The sequence below is a fragment of the Homo sapiens genome, chromosome 9 (genome assembly GCF_000001405.40).
Source record: "Homo sapiens chromosome 9, GRCh38.p14 Primary Assembly".
Lineage (NCBI taxonomy): Eukaryota > Metazoa > Chordata > Mammalia > Primates > Hominidae > Homo > Homo sapiens.
The window spans coordinates 41,158,256-41,172,136 of record NC_000009.12 but is presented as its reverse complement, the minus strand read 5'-3'; the positions used below and the strand labels follow the sequence as shown (position 1 = coordinate 41,172,136).

The window sequence follows — 13,881 nt, the reverse complement described above, 5'->3', positions numbered from 1 at the left end:
CTCTCCATTAAAAGGCATCTTGCATCGCTTCTTGGTCTTTTGGCTAAGATCAAGTGTAAAAGACATCCTGCTATGAATGTTTTTGTTAACTTCTAAGGTCCTAGAATGCATTTAAATGAGGTTTAATTTATAAAATGCATTTAGTAAGATCTTTAAAAGTATGTTGTTACATACAGTAAAATGATGTTTCTCAACTTCCCAGGTGAAATACCACTAAAGGCAGAAGAGAATGAAATCATCCCACCCACTGACCCGTTCCCAATCTGAGCATATGGATAGGGCCCAAAGCAGTAAGTTCTTAGAAGTTTAAATTCAGTGTTTAAAAATTAGTGTCTGTTTTGTATCCAACCTCATATCTGAACGTGTTAATTTTTTTTTTTTTTTTTGAGACAGAGTCTCACTCTGTTGCCCAGGCTGGAGTGCAGTGGCACCATCTTGGCTCACTGCAACCTCCACCTCCCAGCTTCAAGCGATTCCCTTGTCTCAGCCTCCTGAGTATCTGGGATTACAGGTGCACACCACCATGCCCAGCTAATTTTGTATTTTTAGTAGAGACAGGATTTTACCATGTTGACCAGCCTGGTGATGAACTCCTGACCTCAAGTGATCCACTTGCCTCGGCCTCCCAAAGTGCTGGGATTACAGGCATGAGCCACCACGCCCGGCCTGAACTTGTTAATGTTTAAGTTTGCTTTTTTTTCCCAAATCTTTGCTGAAATTATGCTCTAAGGGGATATGTCAGGTTTGTCAAATAGCTACCAATACCTCTTCACTGGGCCTTCTCTCCCTCGTTGATAGAGTGCCCTAGTTTGAAAAGTTTGGAAGAAAACTCGTTTTTTAGAGTTTAAAATCTCAATTTATGAATTTATGAATATAATTTAAGAATCAAAGAATGATCCCAAATACAGTATTACAGTTTCACGCAGAAAAATTCCAATGACTGTTGGAAATCATATTTCTTGCAAAATGCTTATGGAGGTAGCAAAAAAGCCCCAAATTATTCATTTTGAATGTTTATTATAGGCATGTTTGAATCTACCTCTTCCATAAATTTATTACAAAATTTGATATACCTATGTGACAGATAACTGCTAAGACATTTTGTTTTTTTTTTATTTTGATAGACTGAAAATGCCATGCTAAAAGTCAAACTGTTTATGTATTTTATGATTATAGGAAAAATTTTATATGTATAGTTGGGTATGGAGAAGAGTTAAATAGAATCTATTATCAGCATGACGGAGGCCAAAAAAGCAAAGCAACATTCTGAATAATGCAAACACAGTAAACGTTTAACCTTCTGCTACCTTGATAAAACCTCTTAAATTATTAAATCAATATACCTACATGAAACTGACACACTGTCAGGATAATGGAAACTTTAAATTTTCTAAGTCGGATGCCAGATAAATAACTTTGCCTTGATATAAAGAATTTTCCAACTTGTCCAATTCCTCTGGTTGCAAAGCTTGACCTCAGTAGCTGCTTGTGATTCAGAGAATTCTGAGGCAGTACAAGTAATGACACTTGGATAATGGGCAGCAATTTAAGAATGTCATGCTTCACAGAGCCAGCCCATGACAAGTAAAGTTGAGAAATGGTACCCTGTGGCCAGCCAGCCAAATTGAAACTGAAGTGGTAATTGATATCATGGGGTATCACTCTAATGGGATTGTCACCCATTGATCTGAAATATTCATTTTTTAATCATAGGCAAAGAATTGGACAACTTAAAATGACAGCTCTCTATTCTGAGGACTTGACACCCGGGCTACTGACATTGTTCTTTTCAGTTCTACAAATGTGACAGCATTTAATGCAATAGAAGCAATGAATGAAGTTACCCAGAGAAGGTCAAGTGAGAGGTTTCTTCTTGGTTCCTCTGTTATATTGCACAATCTGTTGAAACAATTCAGTCAGAAAACAGTTAGCTTGGAAAAGGCCAGAACAATAAATAGACTGACATTATGCAATAATTTTTTAAAAACTAAAATAGTGTTACATCTGTAACCAATCCATTTGAAAGAAATAGTTCCTGCTGCTGCTTTTTAAAAATGACACCAGACATCTTTGACACTAGATTTATTTCCACTCTGGTCAACAGCAGTGTTCTTTCATAGCCAGTGGGTTTTAAGATAGTTTTTTCTTTTCTTTCTTTCTCTTTTTTCGGTCCGGCTTCTTTCTTTATTTCTGCAGAAAAGGACACCCTATAGCCCTTCATGAAGTTAGGTCTACAGTGGTGTTATTTCAGAGAGTTCCTTTGTTTCTCTCTCTAACCCCCCAGCTTTATTGAGGTATAATTGACAAGTAAAAACTATATATATTTAAGGTATACAGTGTGTGAATTACATTATCAAACATTATCCATCACCTCACATTGCTATTTTTTTGAGAGGGGGTGGTAAGAACAATTAAGATCTATGTTTTAGCAGATTCAAGTATACAATAGAATTAACTACAGTCATCATGCTGTAATTAGCTCTCCATGACTTATGCATCTTGTATAACAAACTTTGTATTCTTTGACCAACATCTCACACCACTCCCCTTTAATTTCCTTTGTTTCTTGTGGTAAGTTAAATTGGGGTTTTGATCCTTAGCCTTTTGAATATGTTGGATTAATTAGTATCAAAATTATTTTTGTCTTTTTTGATATATAAGCAAAAGCCATAGTTGTTAAGCAGAGATAAGGAATACTTTGGACATCTATGTAATATAAAATATTTAAAAAATATTTTGCAAAAATTTTTTCTTCATTTACTTATACAGGTGGAATAGAATGCCAAACTTTCCATTTTGTTTTATTTTATAAATGAAAGTCATCTGACTTAATGACCAAATGGTATATAATGTATTATTGGAGAATGTTCTTTTGAATAGAAGACATTGATTTTATACTTTTTGCAGAGTTTGATTTGGGAAGGTAGGAAGTCACATGAGGGAAATGCAGGGCTGATGTCTAAAGAAAATAAATGTTAAGATGCACTTATTTTTTTAAATGTTTGTATAGCTTTCCTATGGGCATAGAAGAGGACATTTATCTCTTCTGCTATAATTGTATATGATTACATATAATTTTAATACAGCTGTAAATATTGGCAGGCTCTCATTTGGGGTGATTTTCATTTATTTTTATATTTGATACTTTCTGACTGCCTGGAAGTAGTAAAACGTTAGTCTACCACTGTTAGCTTTGAGTGAAGAATTCTAATATTTTGGAGAGGTAAATGCATTTAAAACATTGCACATTACCTTGTGAAACTAACATTGTATTAGTTACATTTAGGCATGGAAATGCAAAAACAAATCTGTAATTCTTCTGTCATATCATTTTTATGCCTCACAAACTCATAGCCAAATAACCCCAATTTCATATGTTAAAAAAGCTTTCATAAGGTCAATAATATAATATCTTGAAAAATATTTCAGTTTAAAAAGAATTTTCAGTACTATAGGATCATTCAGAGGCAGATGCCTTGACAAAAATATATCATTGTTAAGTAGATTTACTGCTTAATGGGAAGAGATTTGTTGCTGCATGTTAGATGGCATTTTTCATGTAACATCTTTTATGTATCCCCACAACAGGAGGTGTTAATTACAATTCATTCAACAAATATTTCTTGAGCCTTTGTGCCAGGCACCATTCCAAGGTCTGTTAGCAGCCTCATTCTCTAGAGGCAGAGTATATAACAATAGGACTTGTAGCCTCAGGCCAAGATGAATTATGAAAAAAATATTAAACTTGATCTTTTGGCATGGAATGATTTTTGATACAATACTTGTCAAGTTCTGTGACTTCCATAATTGCAGAGTGGGTCTGCAGTTGAATTGAACAAAATTTTGCCTGAAGTAGAAGTATCATTGCCATGATTTTATTTCAGTTTTGTTTTCCTCAAAATAGAATTTGCTGAACTTTTAGAAGGAAAAAATGTTTCTTCTATAGACCTAATCAAGCTTGTTAAATAAAATTATTACCTGCTTGCTCTGAGGTTCCAAACTATTCAGATACCCCTAATGATCATCTCCCCATGAATTATGAAACTGGTTTGGCTCTGATATATGGTTATTGACATTTGTGTAGCATTGTACACAGGCTGATTTTATGTGGCATAAAAGATTTCACAAAGGCTTTAAAATTATGTTCATTTTACTTGATGGGTGTGTGTTCAATTAAAAAAAAAAGTCCCTGTGATTGCATATAAAATATAGTATCCTGTGATGATGAGGGTGTTAGATTTAGTTTCTTCCTTTATAAATGAAAATAGCCATCTCCCATAATTATTATGAAAGCTAAATGAGAAAAATGTATATAATTTATAAAGTTAGATTCAAGGATTTAATTCATTTGTAAAGTTGGCTTCAAATATAGAGTATTACTATAATCTAGTTGCCTCTAAACCTCAGTAGCCAGCTTTTTATTGTGACAGGGAACCTCTATTGAGGTTTGAGGTAATGAGGGTAAAAGTGTAATTTCCCAGAGAAGAAGCTTGTGATGTTGATGACGTTAGGGATGTAAACAGGATTATGAGGGGGAAAAAAAAAAACAGACAACAAAACTTGCCTCCAGAGAGATGGAAACTACCACTTGGGCTCTAAGTCAGTGTCAAAATATTTTTTGGAGTTAGCCTGACTCTGGAGAGGTCAGTAAAATAAACAGTTGCACTGAGAGGCCAGATTAGCAAGTATGGGTTTCTAAATGATAAACTGCTTTTAGGCTAGAATCAGGGCTGAATCAGCCTTCCCACCACTTATTTGTTTCTAGGGTGTTTGAAAGGCCTAGTACTGAGTTCACGTGGTGCATGATTGTGGGCTGGGGTGTAGGGAAGTATTTTAGATTCTAATATGGGGGTTTGGTGTGAAGGGAAGTATATTAGATTCTAAGAAACTATATTTCAGTGGTTATCCTTTTTTTAAAATAAGTAATAATGAATATTTAGAACCAGAACAGTTTTGTAAGAAGGAAAATACCTAAAATCTGAACTGTAATCTTCTATGTTTTTATGACATTATGTGAATCAAAGGGGTTTTCCTTTTAAGTAAAAGAAAAGGTCAGGAGTATGAAATCCTAAGCCCTCTTCCTCCCCCTATAAAACCCCACAGGTTCACTTGTAGAAAAAAATTGCAAATGGGGAAGAAAAATGCTTTCAGCTAGAAAAGTTAGTTTTGGATTTGTGTATTCAGTAACAGAACATGTTGAAGTTTTTATTAAATGCAAGAAAATGTCTCTAAAGTAAAATCCTTTGTGTTGACATTAGATTTTTTATTGTATTATAGTAACTTTATTCAAACTTTTTTTTGTTTAGCATTTAACAGAAGAGAAACCTGATGGCCTTATCAATGAAGCTACTAGGTATTCATATTTAAAGTATATATTGATTGCTGGCTAATCGTAAAGAGAAAAATCACTAAGATGAAAACCAAAAACAAACTAAGAAATTTTAAAACATAGTCAAGGAAAATTTGTTTTCTTTTTTTCCCTTAGTTGAATTATTGCTATCTATTTATAATGATCTCATAACTAAACTTTTACTTGAAGTCATTTTTGTCGTAGCATAAAGTGAATGCTGAACACAGGAGTTCTGTAATTTTGAGGAACTCGGGAAATATTAACATTTAAAAATATTTTCTTGTTATACAATTTCTTTGGGATTGAAGATTTTATATATATATATATATATATATATATATGTATAATAATAATTATTATTATTATTTTTTGAGACAGAATCTCACTCTGTCACCCAGGCTGAAGTGCAGGCTCACTGCAACCTCTGCCTCCCAGGTTCAAGCGATTCTCCTGCCTCAGCCTCCCAAGTAGCTGGGATTACAGGCACCCGCCACCATGCCCAGCTAATTTTTGCATTTTTTTATTTTATTTATTTTATTTTATTTTATTTTAGTAGAGATGGGGTTTCACCATGTTGGCCAGCCTGGTCTCGAGCTCCTGACCTCAGGTGATCCACCCGCCTCGGCCTCCCAAAGTGCTGGGATTACAGGCATGAATCCACTGCGCCTGGCTGAACTTAAGTATTTTTGTAACTTTTTTCCTTATGAAAATATGGTTATTATAGAAAATATAAATAAGCCAAATAGAAAATAGCCAAATTGGATTTGTGATGTACATACTGTTGAAACCTGCTCTTTCAGTGAACTAAAGTTAATTTAGTTTTGAGAATTTAGTTGTATTCTTTGAGATAAAGCATAAGACCCTGAATAATTGAGGAAAATTGAAAGAATTTCCAGTTTTACTATCCTGTTAATAGAAAATAGAGCTTCTGATTATTATCATCTACTTTGTTATCTAGCATTCAGTCAACTGGATTCTTTACAGAGATAATATACAGTATATTTATAGTGATAAAGAAGACATTTGTGCAATATCCTGATATATCTTCTGAAGTATAGCTTATTTTTTTTAAGAAATGGAGTCTTGCTATGTTGCCCAGGTTGGACTTGAACTCCTGGGCTTAAGGGATCCTCCCTCCTCAGCCTCCTAAGTAGCCAGGACTACAGGTGTGCTCTACCATGCCCAGCTCTGAAGTATAGTTTTAAAAAACCTGTTTAATACAGTTTTTAGTATTAAGTGAAGTTATTCTATTTCTTTGAAAATTTTGGTAAATATTACAGTATTTTAGTAGGTAAACTCTTCTTCTTTTTACCATATTGGATATCTGAATTTTATGCTTTTCTTCACAAAGAAAATTATGAGTTTAAAATCATCCTTTTGATTGTAAACTTTTTGAGACTTATCTTTGTAGCACAAGAGTAGCAAGTAACAGAACTTAGTAAATACTTTGCAAATGGGTAATGTGAAATCTGAACTTGCATAGTAATGAATACAATTCATTCACATTGAAAAATTAGCGGATTAGGAGTAAACTGAATCACTCCTATAGAGCACTATATAATCCTTAACTGATATATTGATCTACATGAGGTGTTTTTATTTATTTTTAATTTGTTAACATTTCTCTTTTGATGTATTAATCTGCATGCGTGTATATTATTTAAAATTTCTTAACATTTCTTTTTGTTTGCTATTTTAGGCAAGTTGCTTTGGCAGATATCATTCTCATTAATAAAACAGACTTGGTCCCAGAAGAAGATGTAAAGAAATTAAGAACGACACTTAGGTACAAAATGATGTGTGTTAAGTGCCTACAGATCCATATTGTATACACAGAATGTTTTTTACTCTGATTGTTGCCCTGTAGAAACTTAAGGTATAAGGTTGACCTGCTTCAAGAACGTTAGGGAATCACATATATTGTTGATGGCTAATTGTTATATAAATGGTAATACATAAAATTAGTCCCCAGTGCTTGCAGAATATAGTTCACAGTTAATAGACTGATATTCAGGGTCTTCGCACTCCATCTTTCTTTTCCTGTCTTCTCTTTGACTCTTTCCTAATGTCAGTCTTCCCTAACTTTACCCAGGATGGTTAATTCACTTTCCCATGGATGCATCCTGTCAGTTCCTGTCTTTACTCATAATGTATTCTCACTCTGCCAATCCCTGAGTTCTTTCTTGTTCTGTTTTTTTTTTTAATTTATTCTATAGAGCCTATTCTGTCTCTCCCCCCTTCCTATGTGAAGTCTTCCCTGACTCAAGTGGTCTCAGTTTTCCCTGAACTCTTGTTGACTTCATCTTCCTTAACTGTCAACCATGCATTGTCTTCCAGCTTGCTTGTATATCTTCTTTGTCCATAGCCAAGGCTGATCAGCATAGGACAATCAGGACAATATGAATGATGCTGAAATATGTGCTAACAGTCATTTTGCTGACTGTTCTGGAGACTCCCATTCCTTTTGAAAACAAAGATGGACTTTTCAAATGAAGTTATAGTTCAGGGACTTTGTTTTGAATTATTTTGTAAGACCTGAACTAATAAAAGCCCTATACAGAGAGACATTCGGTAGCTATTATTATTGGTTATCTTTAATGTGTACAATGCTTTGAGCGTGATGGCTCAAAATTACTATTCTTAGTATTTATAAGTTCTACTGACTAGATTTTGAATGTGTCATCTCAGTTCATATAGTATATATTATAAATTGAATCAATAAAAGTAAGGCTCATTAGGAGATTATTTGCCATGATTAATGATTGTGGAAGAAAGAAATTCATATTTTTTCCACATATTTCATCTTATTTTAATAGTAATGTCCTTAAACTTTACTATAAAAAAATATAATGTCTCCATGTGGAGGGTAGGTATTGTTGCGTAGTGTTGAAGATCACAGACCTTGGAATCTGCTTGGGTTCTAATCCTTGGTCTGTTTCTCATTGTCTTCTTAGGGAGCTTATTTACCCTTTTAAAGCCTCCTCTGTAAAAGGCATAATGCCTATCATAAGTTTGCTTTGAGTATTACATGAGACAATGTTGGTAAACTTTGCACAGTGCTGACACATAGTAAGTGCTCTGTTAGCTATTATTATGTAATTTTTTTCTTAGCTTACATAGTAAGTTCAAGGTATAGTAAAAAAGGGAAGAAAGAAAAAGATGGCTGATTTTGAAAAGGAGAAAGTGATGAATGAAGATTGCTTTTACATTTTTTGACACTGGTCTTCTAATCTTGTTTCTCTTCATAAATCTTGTGCACCATTGTGATTGCTAAGAAGAACACAATCTATTTAGCAAACGTTTTTGGCATAAAAGGAATGATAATTATTACTTGACTTTTATATCCTTATAGAGACCTAAGCTAAATCTCTGACACTGACAATATTGACTATTAGCCAGCTTGTTAACAGTACTAGAAATGAATTTGGTAGAAGCAATTTGGTAAATTACACACCCTTTTGGCTTTTACCCTCCGTTTATATCAGACTTGTGACTGACTCAGAATGATATTTGGGGAGGTGAAAAAAGGTAAACATGTTTGAGAGGAATTAGCCATCAGACTAGAGTGTATTCAAAAAAGAAGATTTAAGAATTTTGTAAAATAGTGGAGAGACTTGCCTCAGAATCATTATATGTGGGAAGCCTTACCCATGAGAACAAACTTGAACAAGTAGCAAGAATCTTGGGTAAGTAACCCTAAAGACAATTGAATTCATGATAGAGAATTGATGATTGATGATAGGCAATGGAAAAGATAAATAGATGAGGTGTACAGTGTGTTGAAAAGAATTTAACAGGTACTTTCTGGTTCCATACAAAGCCATATTCTATAGTATCAAAAGAGGGAGAACAGGCATAACGGGTAGAGAGCCTAATTAGGGAACTGACGAGGTTATTCTATAAAGGAACCTGGGATGTGTGACTTAGAATTACTGTGAATACTAAGGACAGGCTGGGGGCAAAGCAACTTACAACTAGGTTTTTATTTTTAGTGTGTATATAGCCATTTCTACCATGTATGCCTGAGGAAAAAAGTGACCACCGTAAAAATTTTGAGTATCTGCTCATTTTTAAGAACACTGGGATAACTGACTATTTATGAATGATTTTTTCTAAAGTGAAGCGTCTTTTTATTAACCACAAAGTATCCCTTAATCTGACAGTTGTGTGAATTTTTGCATATATGTTTTATTGATGTATGAGTGGAATATATGTGATTTATTGTTTGAAGGAAAATCATAATTATTTTTTAAAGCAAGTTTTGTTTTTCTGTTTTTAATTTTTTTCTGGTTCCAGATGTATTTGGGTATGCTTATTTCCCGTTTTAGAAACAATATACTTTGTATACTTTTTTAAAAAGTTAATTTTTACTTTTAAACTTTGTCTTCCTCATTTATTATTTATTTCAGATCCATAAATGGACTAGGACAAATCTTAGAAACACAAAGATCAAGGTACTTTAAAAAAGCTATTCCTATTAATAACAAATCATTTTAGTTATTAATAATAAACATTAAGTAATTGACAAATATGCTTGATTCTGATATAAGAAAGATCTAAGTGCATTTAAAAAGAATTGGATCCAAAATGTTGTTTGGAATGCTCTTAATAAGTTAGTTTGGCATATTTGGCTAGTACATTTGCCTGTCTTCAAAACTAAGATTACAAAGCCATGATAACACTGTGTAAGTGTTTGCTTAATGAGGAAGAAAAGACTTCCAAACACTCGAGAGGGTAACTCAGTACAGAAATCTGAAGTATATTGAGGAATCTTAATTTGAAGTGTTTAAATGGCTTTTTAATATTTAAAAAGCCTTCTTAGTGTTTTATAGTTGCCAAAAAATACATGGAGTCTTTACCTTGAAGTTCCTGACAAATTCTTTTATTAAATTTTGACTTTCATTTTCTCTAGGTTCTGTTCCTAAAACATCTGTGAAGTGTATTTCTGTAGATTAAATTCTGTTTTCCATTGAATGTTATCTTAATTTCAGAAAATTTCTGTGCAGGGTTATTTTATTAAGCTCATTTTTTTTTTTTTTTTTTTTTTTTTTTTGGTGAGAAAGGCTCAGCAGCTGATAGACTCAGCAACAGGCAGCCAGGAGCTCTGAGGCTCACAGCTGGCAGTCTAGTTCCACTCAGTCTCTACTTGAGAAATTCTTTCTTTGGAAGTACAGCAGAGGCCTTAGGTGAGTGGCTTGTCTGCTATGGCAGAGATTAGAGGTGCTGACAGACTGCCATAAGTATTAGGCAGTAACAGCAGCAGCTGCTTATATGCATGTGAACAGCTGGGGAATTAATTTGGTATGCATTCTCAGGAGCCACTCATCTGCTGGCAGAGGTAGCAGAAGAATGCCCTTAGTGTAAGTCCTCTACAACCATACACCAAATGTGCTCCCTGCGTTTCAAATTCCATTGTAGAGAGTCTCTGATAATCTCACTTATACCATGAGCCATTCCTCAGTATCTGTCCTCTTCCTGTTAGTGTTCTACAATTCCTTTCTCCTTAATTTTTCTCCGCTTTACAAAATGTCACACAGACAAGTGCATGATACTTAAACAAGCTTTTAAAAATAATGCTCATAAATAGCTTTGGTTCTGTCATAATATTCGTATTTATAAACATTTTAAGTCAATTCTCTTCTTTTATTTTCATTTCAGAAATATCCATGTCCTGAATAAAAGTTGTGTCTTGATTAGTTTATTATGTAACAATTTAGTGTGTTTGACATTTCTAACTTTTATTTCTAACATTTGCTTTATTATAGAACAATAAACATGCAGTGATTGATTTTTCTTACTTCAAGTGGATGAGTGAGCAAGTGACTAAAATCTTCTGTGAATTCTTCAGTGTATGGTGCTTGCCAATGCATCTGAGAATCTAGGGACTTTCTGAAATAGTACTTCCTTGCTATGAGGACTGAAGTTGGATTAGAATCCTTTTCAATGAAGATCAGATGTCCTGAGTAGAATTCTTACTATTGGGTCCTGAATCTTATATTAAATATTCTCTCAAATTCCTTGAGGCATAGCAACTTGAGCTTACCAGTTTAGAAACTGGAGATTTGGGCTGGGCGCGGTGGCTCACGCCTGTAATCCCAGCACTTTGGGAGGCCAAGGTGGGCGGATCACGAGGTCAGGAGATGGAGACCATCCTGGCTAACACTGTGAAACCCCATCTCTACTAAAAATACAAAAAATTAGCTGAGCCTGGTGGTGGGCGCCTGTAGTCCCAGCTACTCAGGAGACTGAGGCAGGAGAATGGCGTGAACCCGGGAGGCGGAGCTTGCAGTGAGCTGAGATCGCACCACTGCACTCCAGCCTGGGTGACAGAGCGAGACTCTGTCTCAAAAAAAAAACAAACAAACAAACAAAAAACCCGGAGATATGGTTAACAAAATAGTCAAAGTCACTCTTATAGAAGTTTTGTTTTATTTTTTGTTTTTTAAAATTTTTTTACCATTTTGTAGCTGACAAGTACTGACAATAAACTGCTATAAGCATGTGTAGAAAAAGGCTCACCTTGAGTAGTTAAGAGTAAGGAAAAGGAATAGTGTGTAGCATCGTCTTAGTGGTAAGACTTAAGTTGATTTAGTAGCAAATGGAAGTACTAGTGAACCACATAGATTTCAGAAGTAGGAGTAAAAGGTTAGAAGATGTGTCATTTTAATCTTCTCTAGACTTTTTCTTAATTTTTAGAAATGTAAGTGGACTGAACAGAGGAAAACCAAAACACAGCTGGTCAATAATAAGTTAAATTAATTTGACAAACTGCCTGCTATGCATTTCATAGCATTTTAAGGACTATATAAGCAATGGATAAGGCAAAAACTCTGCCTTTAAGGAGATCAGTCATTGGGGGGAAACAGAAGCAAACAAACAAAAAGGCAACATAATAGATATTAATATTAATACAAGAATTTTAAAAGCACAGAGTTCTATAATAATAGGAAAATAGAGGGAATGATTGCTCAACTTTTCTTGAAAAAGAGTCAGGAAAATATTGACCGAGAAGGCAGTCATTGACCTGAGTCTTAAAGAATGAATAAGGTTTTTACAGATGGAGTAGGGTAGGGATAACTTTCCAGGTATAAGGAAGATTTTGTATTCCAGGGACCTTTGAATATTTTAGAATGGCTAGAAAACTTGGTATTATGTAGCACAGAAAAAGTGGTATGACTGAAGAGATAGAGAACTTACCACAAAGGGTCTTGAATGCCATGATACATAGTTTGGATTTTCTTCTGTAGGGAGCAAGGAGTTAGTGAAGGATTTTAAAAGCAACATGCCTCTTGGGAGGTAGATTCAATGTGAGACTAATCTCCGAGGTATAGGAAATACAGGAAGGAGGAGCAACAGGTCGGGTAGTGGTGGAAGCAGGTTTGGAAAATGTGATTAGTTTTGTAAACGTTTTTGAGTTTGAAGTGCCACTGGGGAAGGCTTTTGGAAATTTATTTCCAGAGTTCAAGACTGAGCTATCATTGCAGTTTGCTCAGCTATTTACTGAGCTATCTACTGTCAATTTGGATAGTATCTACAGTTTGCATTGTAGATACTGGATACTTGGATTGGCTGGTGCACCCTGTTTATGAGACTCACTGGAGTTTGAAGAGATGACCACTGGAAAATATCCCTAAGCAGTAGCTGCAATTCCACCCCCACCGAGGAGAGCCAAAACCCTCTTCGTTTTCACTTTCCTGTCCTTGGTCTTAAGCTACTTAAAGCAGCCTTTAGACATAGGGAAAAATTGAAAGCCTCTCTTTTAAGAAAAACATTAGGTACTTCTGGAATAGAGAGTTCAAGAAATTAGGAGAAAAATGAACTTTTGAAGCTTTTTCTTTCCCTTTTTTGTTTACTTCATTCTCTTACTCAGTTTTAAAATGCTGGTAATGGTCTTTTTTTTCCTTTTTTTTTTTTTTCTTGGCGATTTTAATGCTTTGGAAAAGATCTCATGGTTTTATCTCCAAAGGAGGAAATTAATTTGATGCCATGGAAATTAGTTTTCTAGTCGTATGCCTTGAATGAGTGAAGAATTTCTTTTTCATGGTGGTACTAAATTTGGGGAAAGCTATAGAAACTTTCATCTGGAAGCTTACACTTTTCCTCTTTTTTGAAAATTTGGTGAGAGACTTGGATATTTTATTATTTTCTGTAAAAGAGTGTAATTTGTTATACAGGTCTAATATTGATCCTTTTTTGGAAGTATGGAAAGAATCTGAGTATAAAGCAGAATTACCTCTGGATGGCATGTATTCTCAAGGACACTGTCACAGTGAAACAGTTTATTTAGAAGCTTGTGTTTCCAAACTGTTGAATTTGATATTCACAAAATTGGCATGTGTAAACTTTATTAAACTTTAAGCTATTTCCTAAGATGAAGATGACAAACTTGGAGGGAAACTTCATTCATTTGGTTTATTTTTATTTTTATTTTTATTTATTTTTATCTTTTTGAGACAGAATCTCACTCTGGTTTGAGACAGAATCTCACTCTGTCCCCCAAGTTGGAGTGCGGTGGTGCGATCTCGGCTCAC

General features: G+C 34.4%; 1 protein-coding gene across 29 annotated transcripts in view; it reads left to right on the top strand.

Annotated features, from left to right (window-relative positions):
• The window catches only part of ZNG1F (Zn regulated GTPase metalloprotein activator 1F), a 74,427-nt gene that overhangs the window by 33,599 nt on the left and 26,947 nt on the right, over nt 1–13,881 (top strand). For 13 of the 29 annotated variants that reach the window (XM_017015028.2, XM_047423722.1, NM_001439295.1 and 10 more), the window contains 3 exons: nt 5,307–5,353; nt 7,050–7,136; nt 9,760–9,804. In XM_017015028.2, coding sequence (XP_016870517.1) covers nt 5,307–5,353; nt 7,050–7,136; nt 9,760–9,804 — 179 coding nt within the window. Of the gene's footprint in view, nt 1–282; nt 291–1,713; nt 1,859–5,306; nt 5,354–7,049; nt 7,137–9,759; nt 9,805–10,413; nt 10,537–11,115; nt 11,200–13,881 lie in introns of those variants that run through there. The other 16 variants (XM_047423720.1, XM_017015025.2, NM_001386877.1 and 13 more) reach the window with 9 other exon arrangements.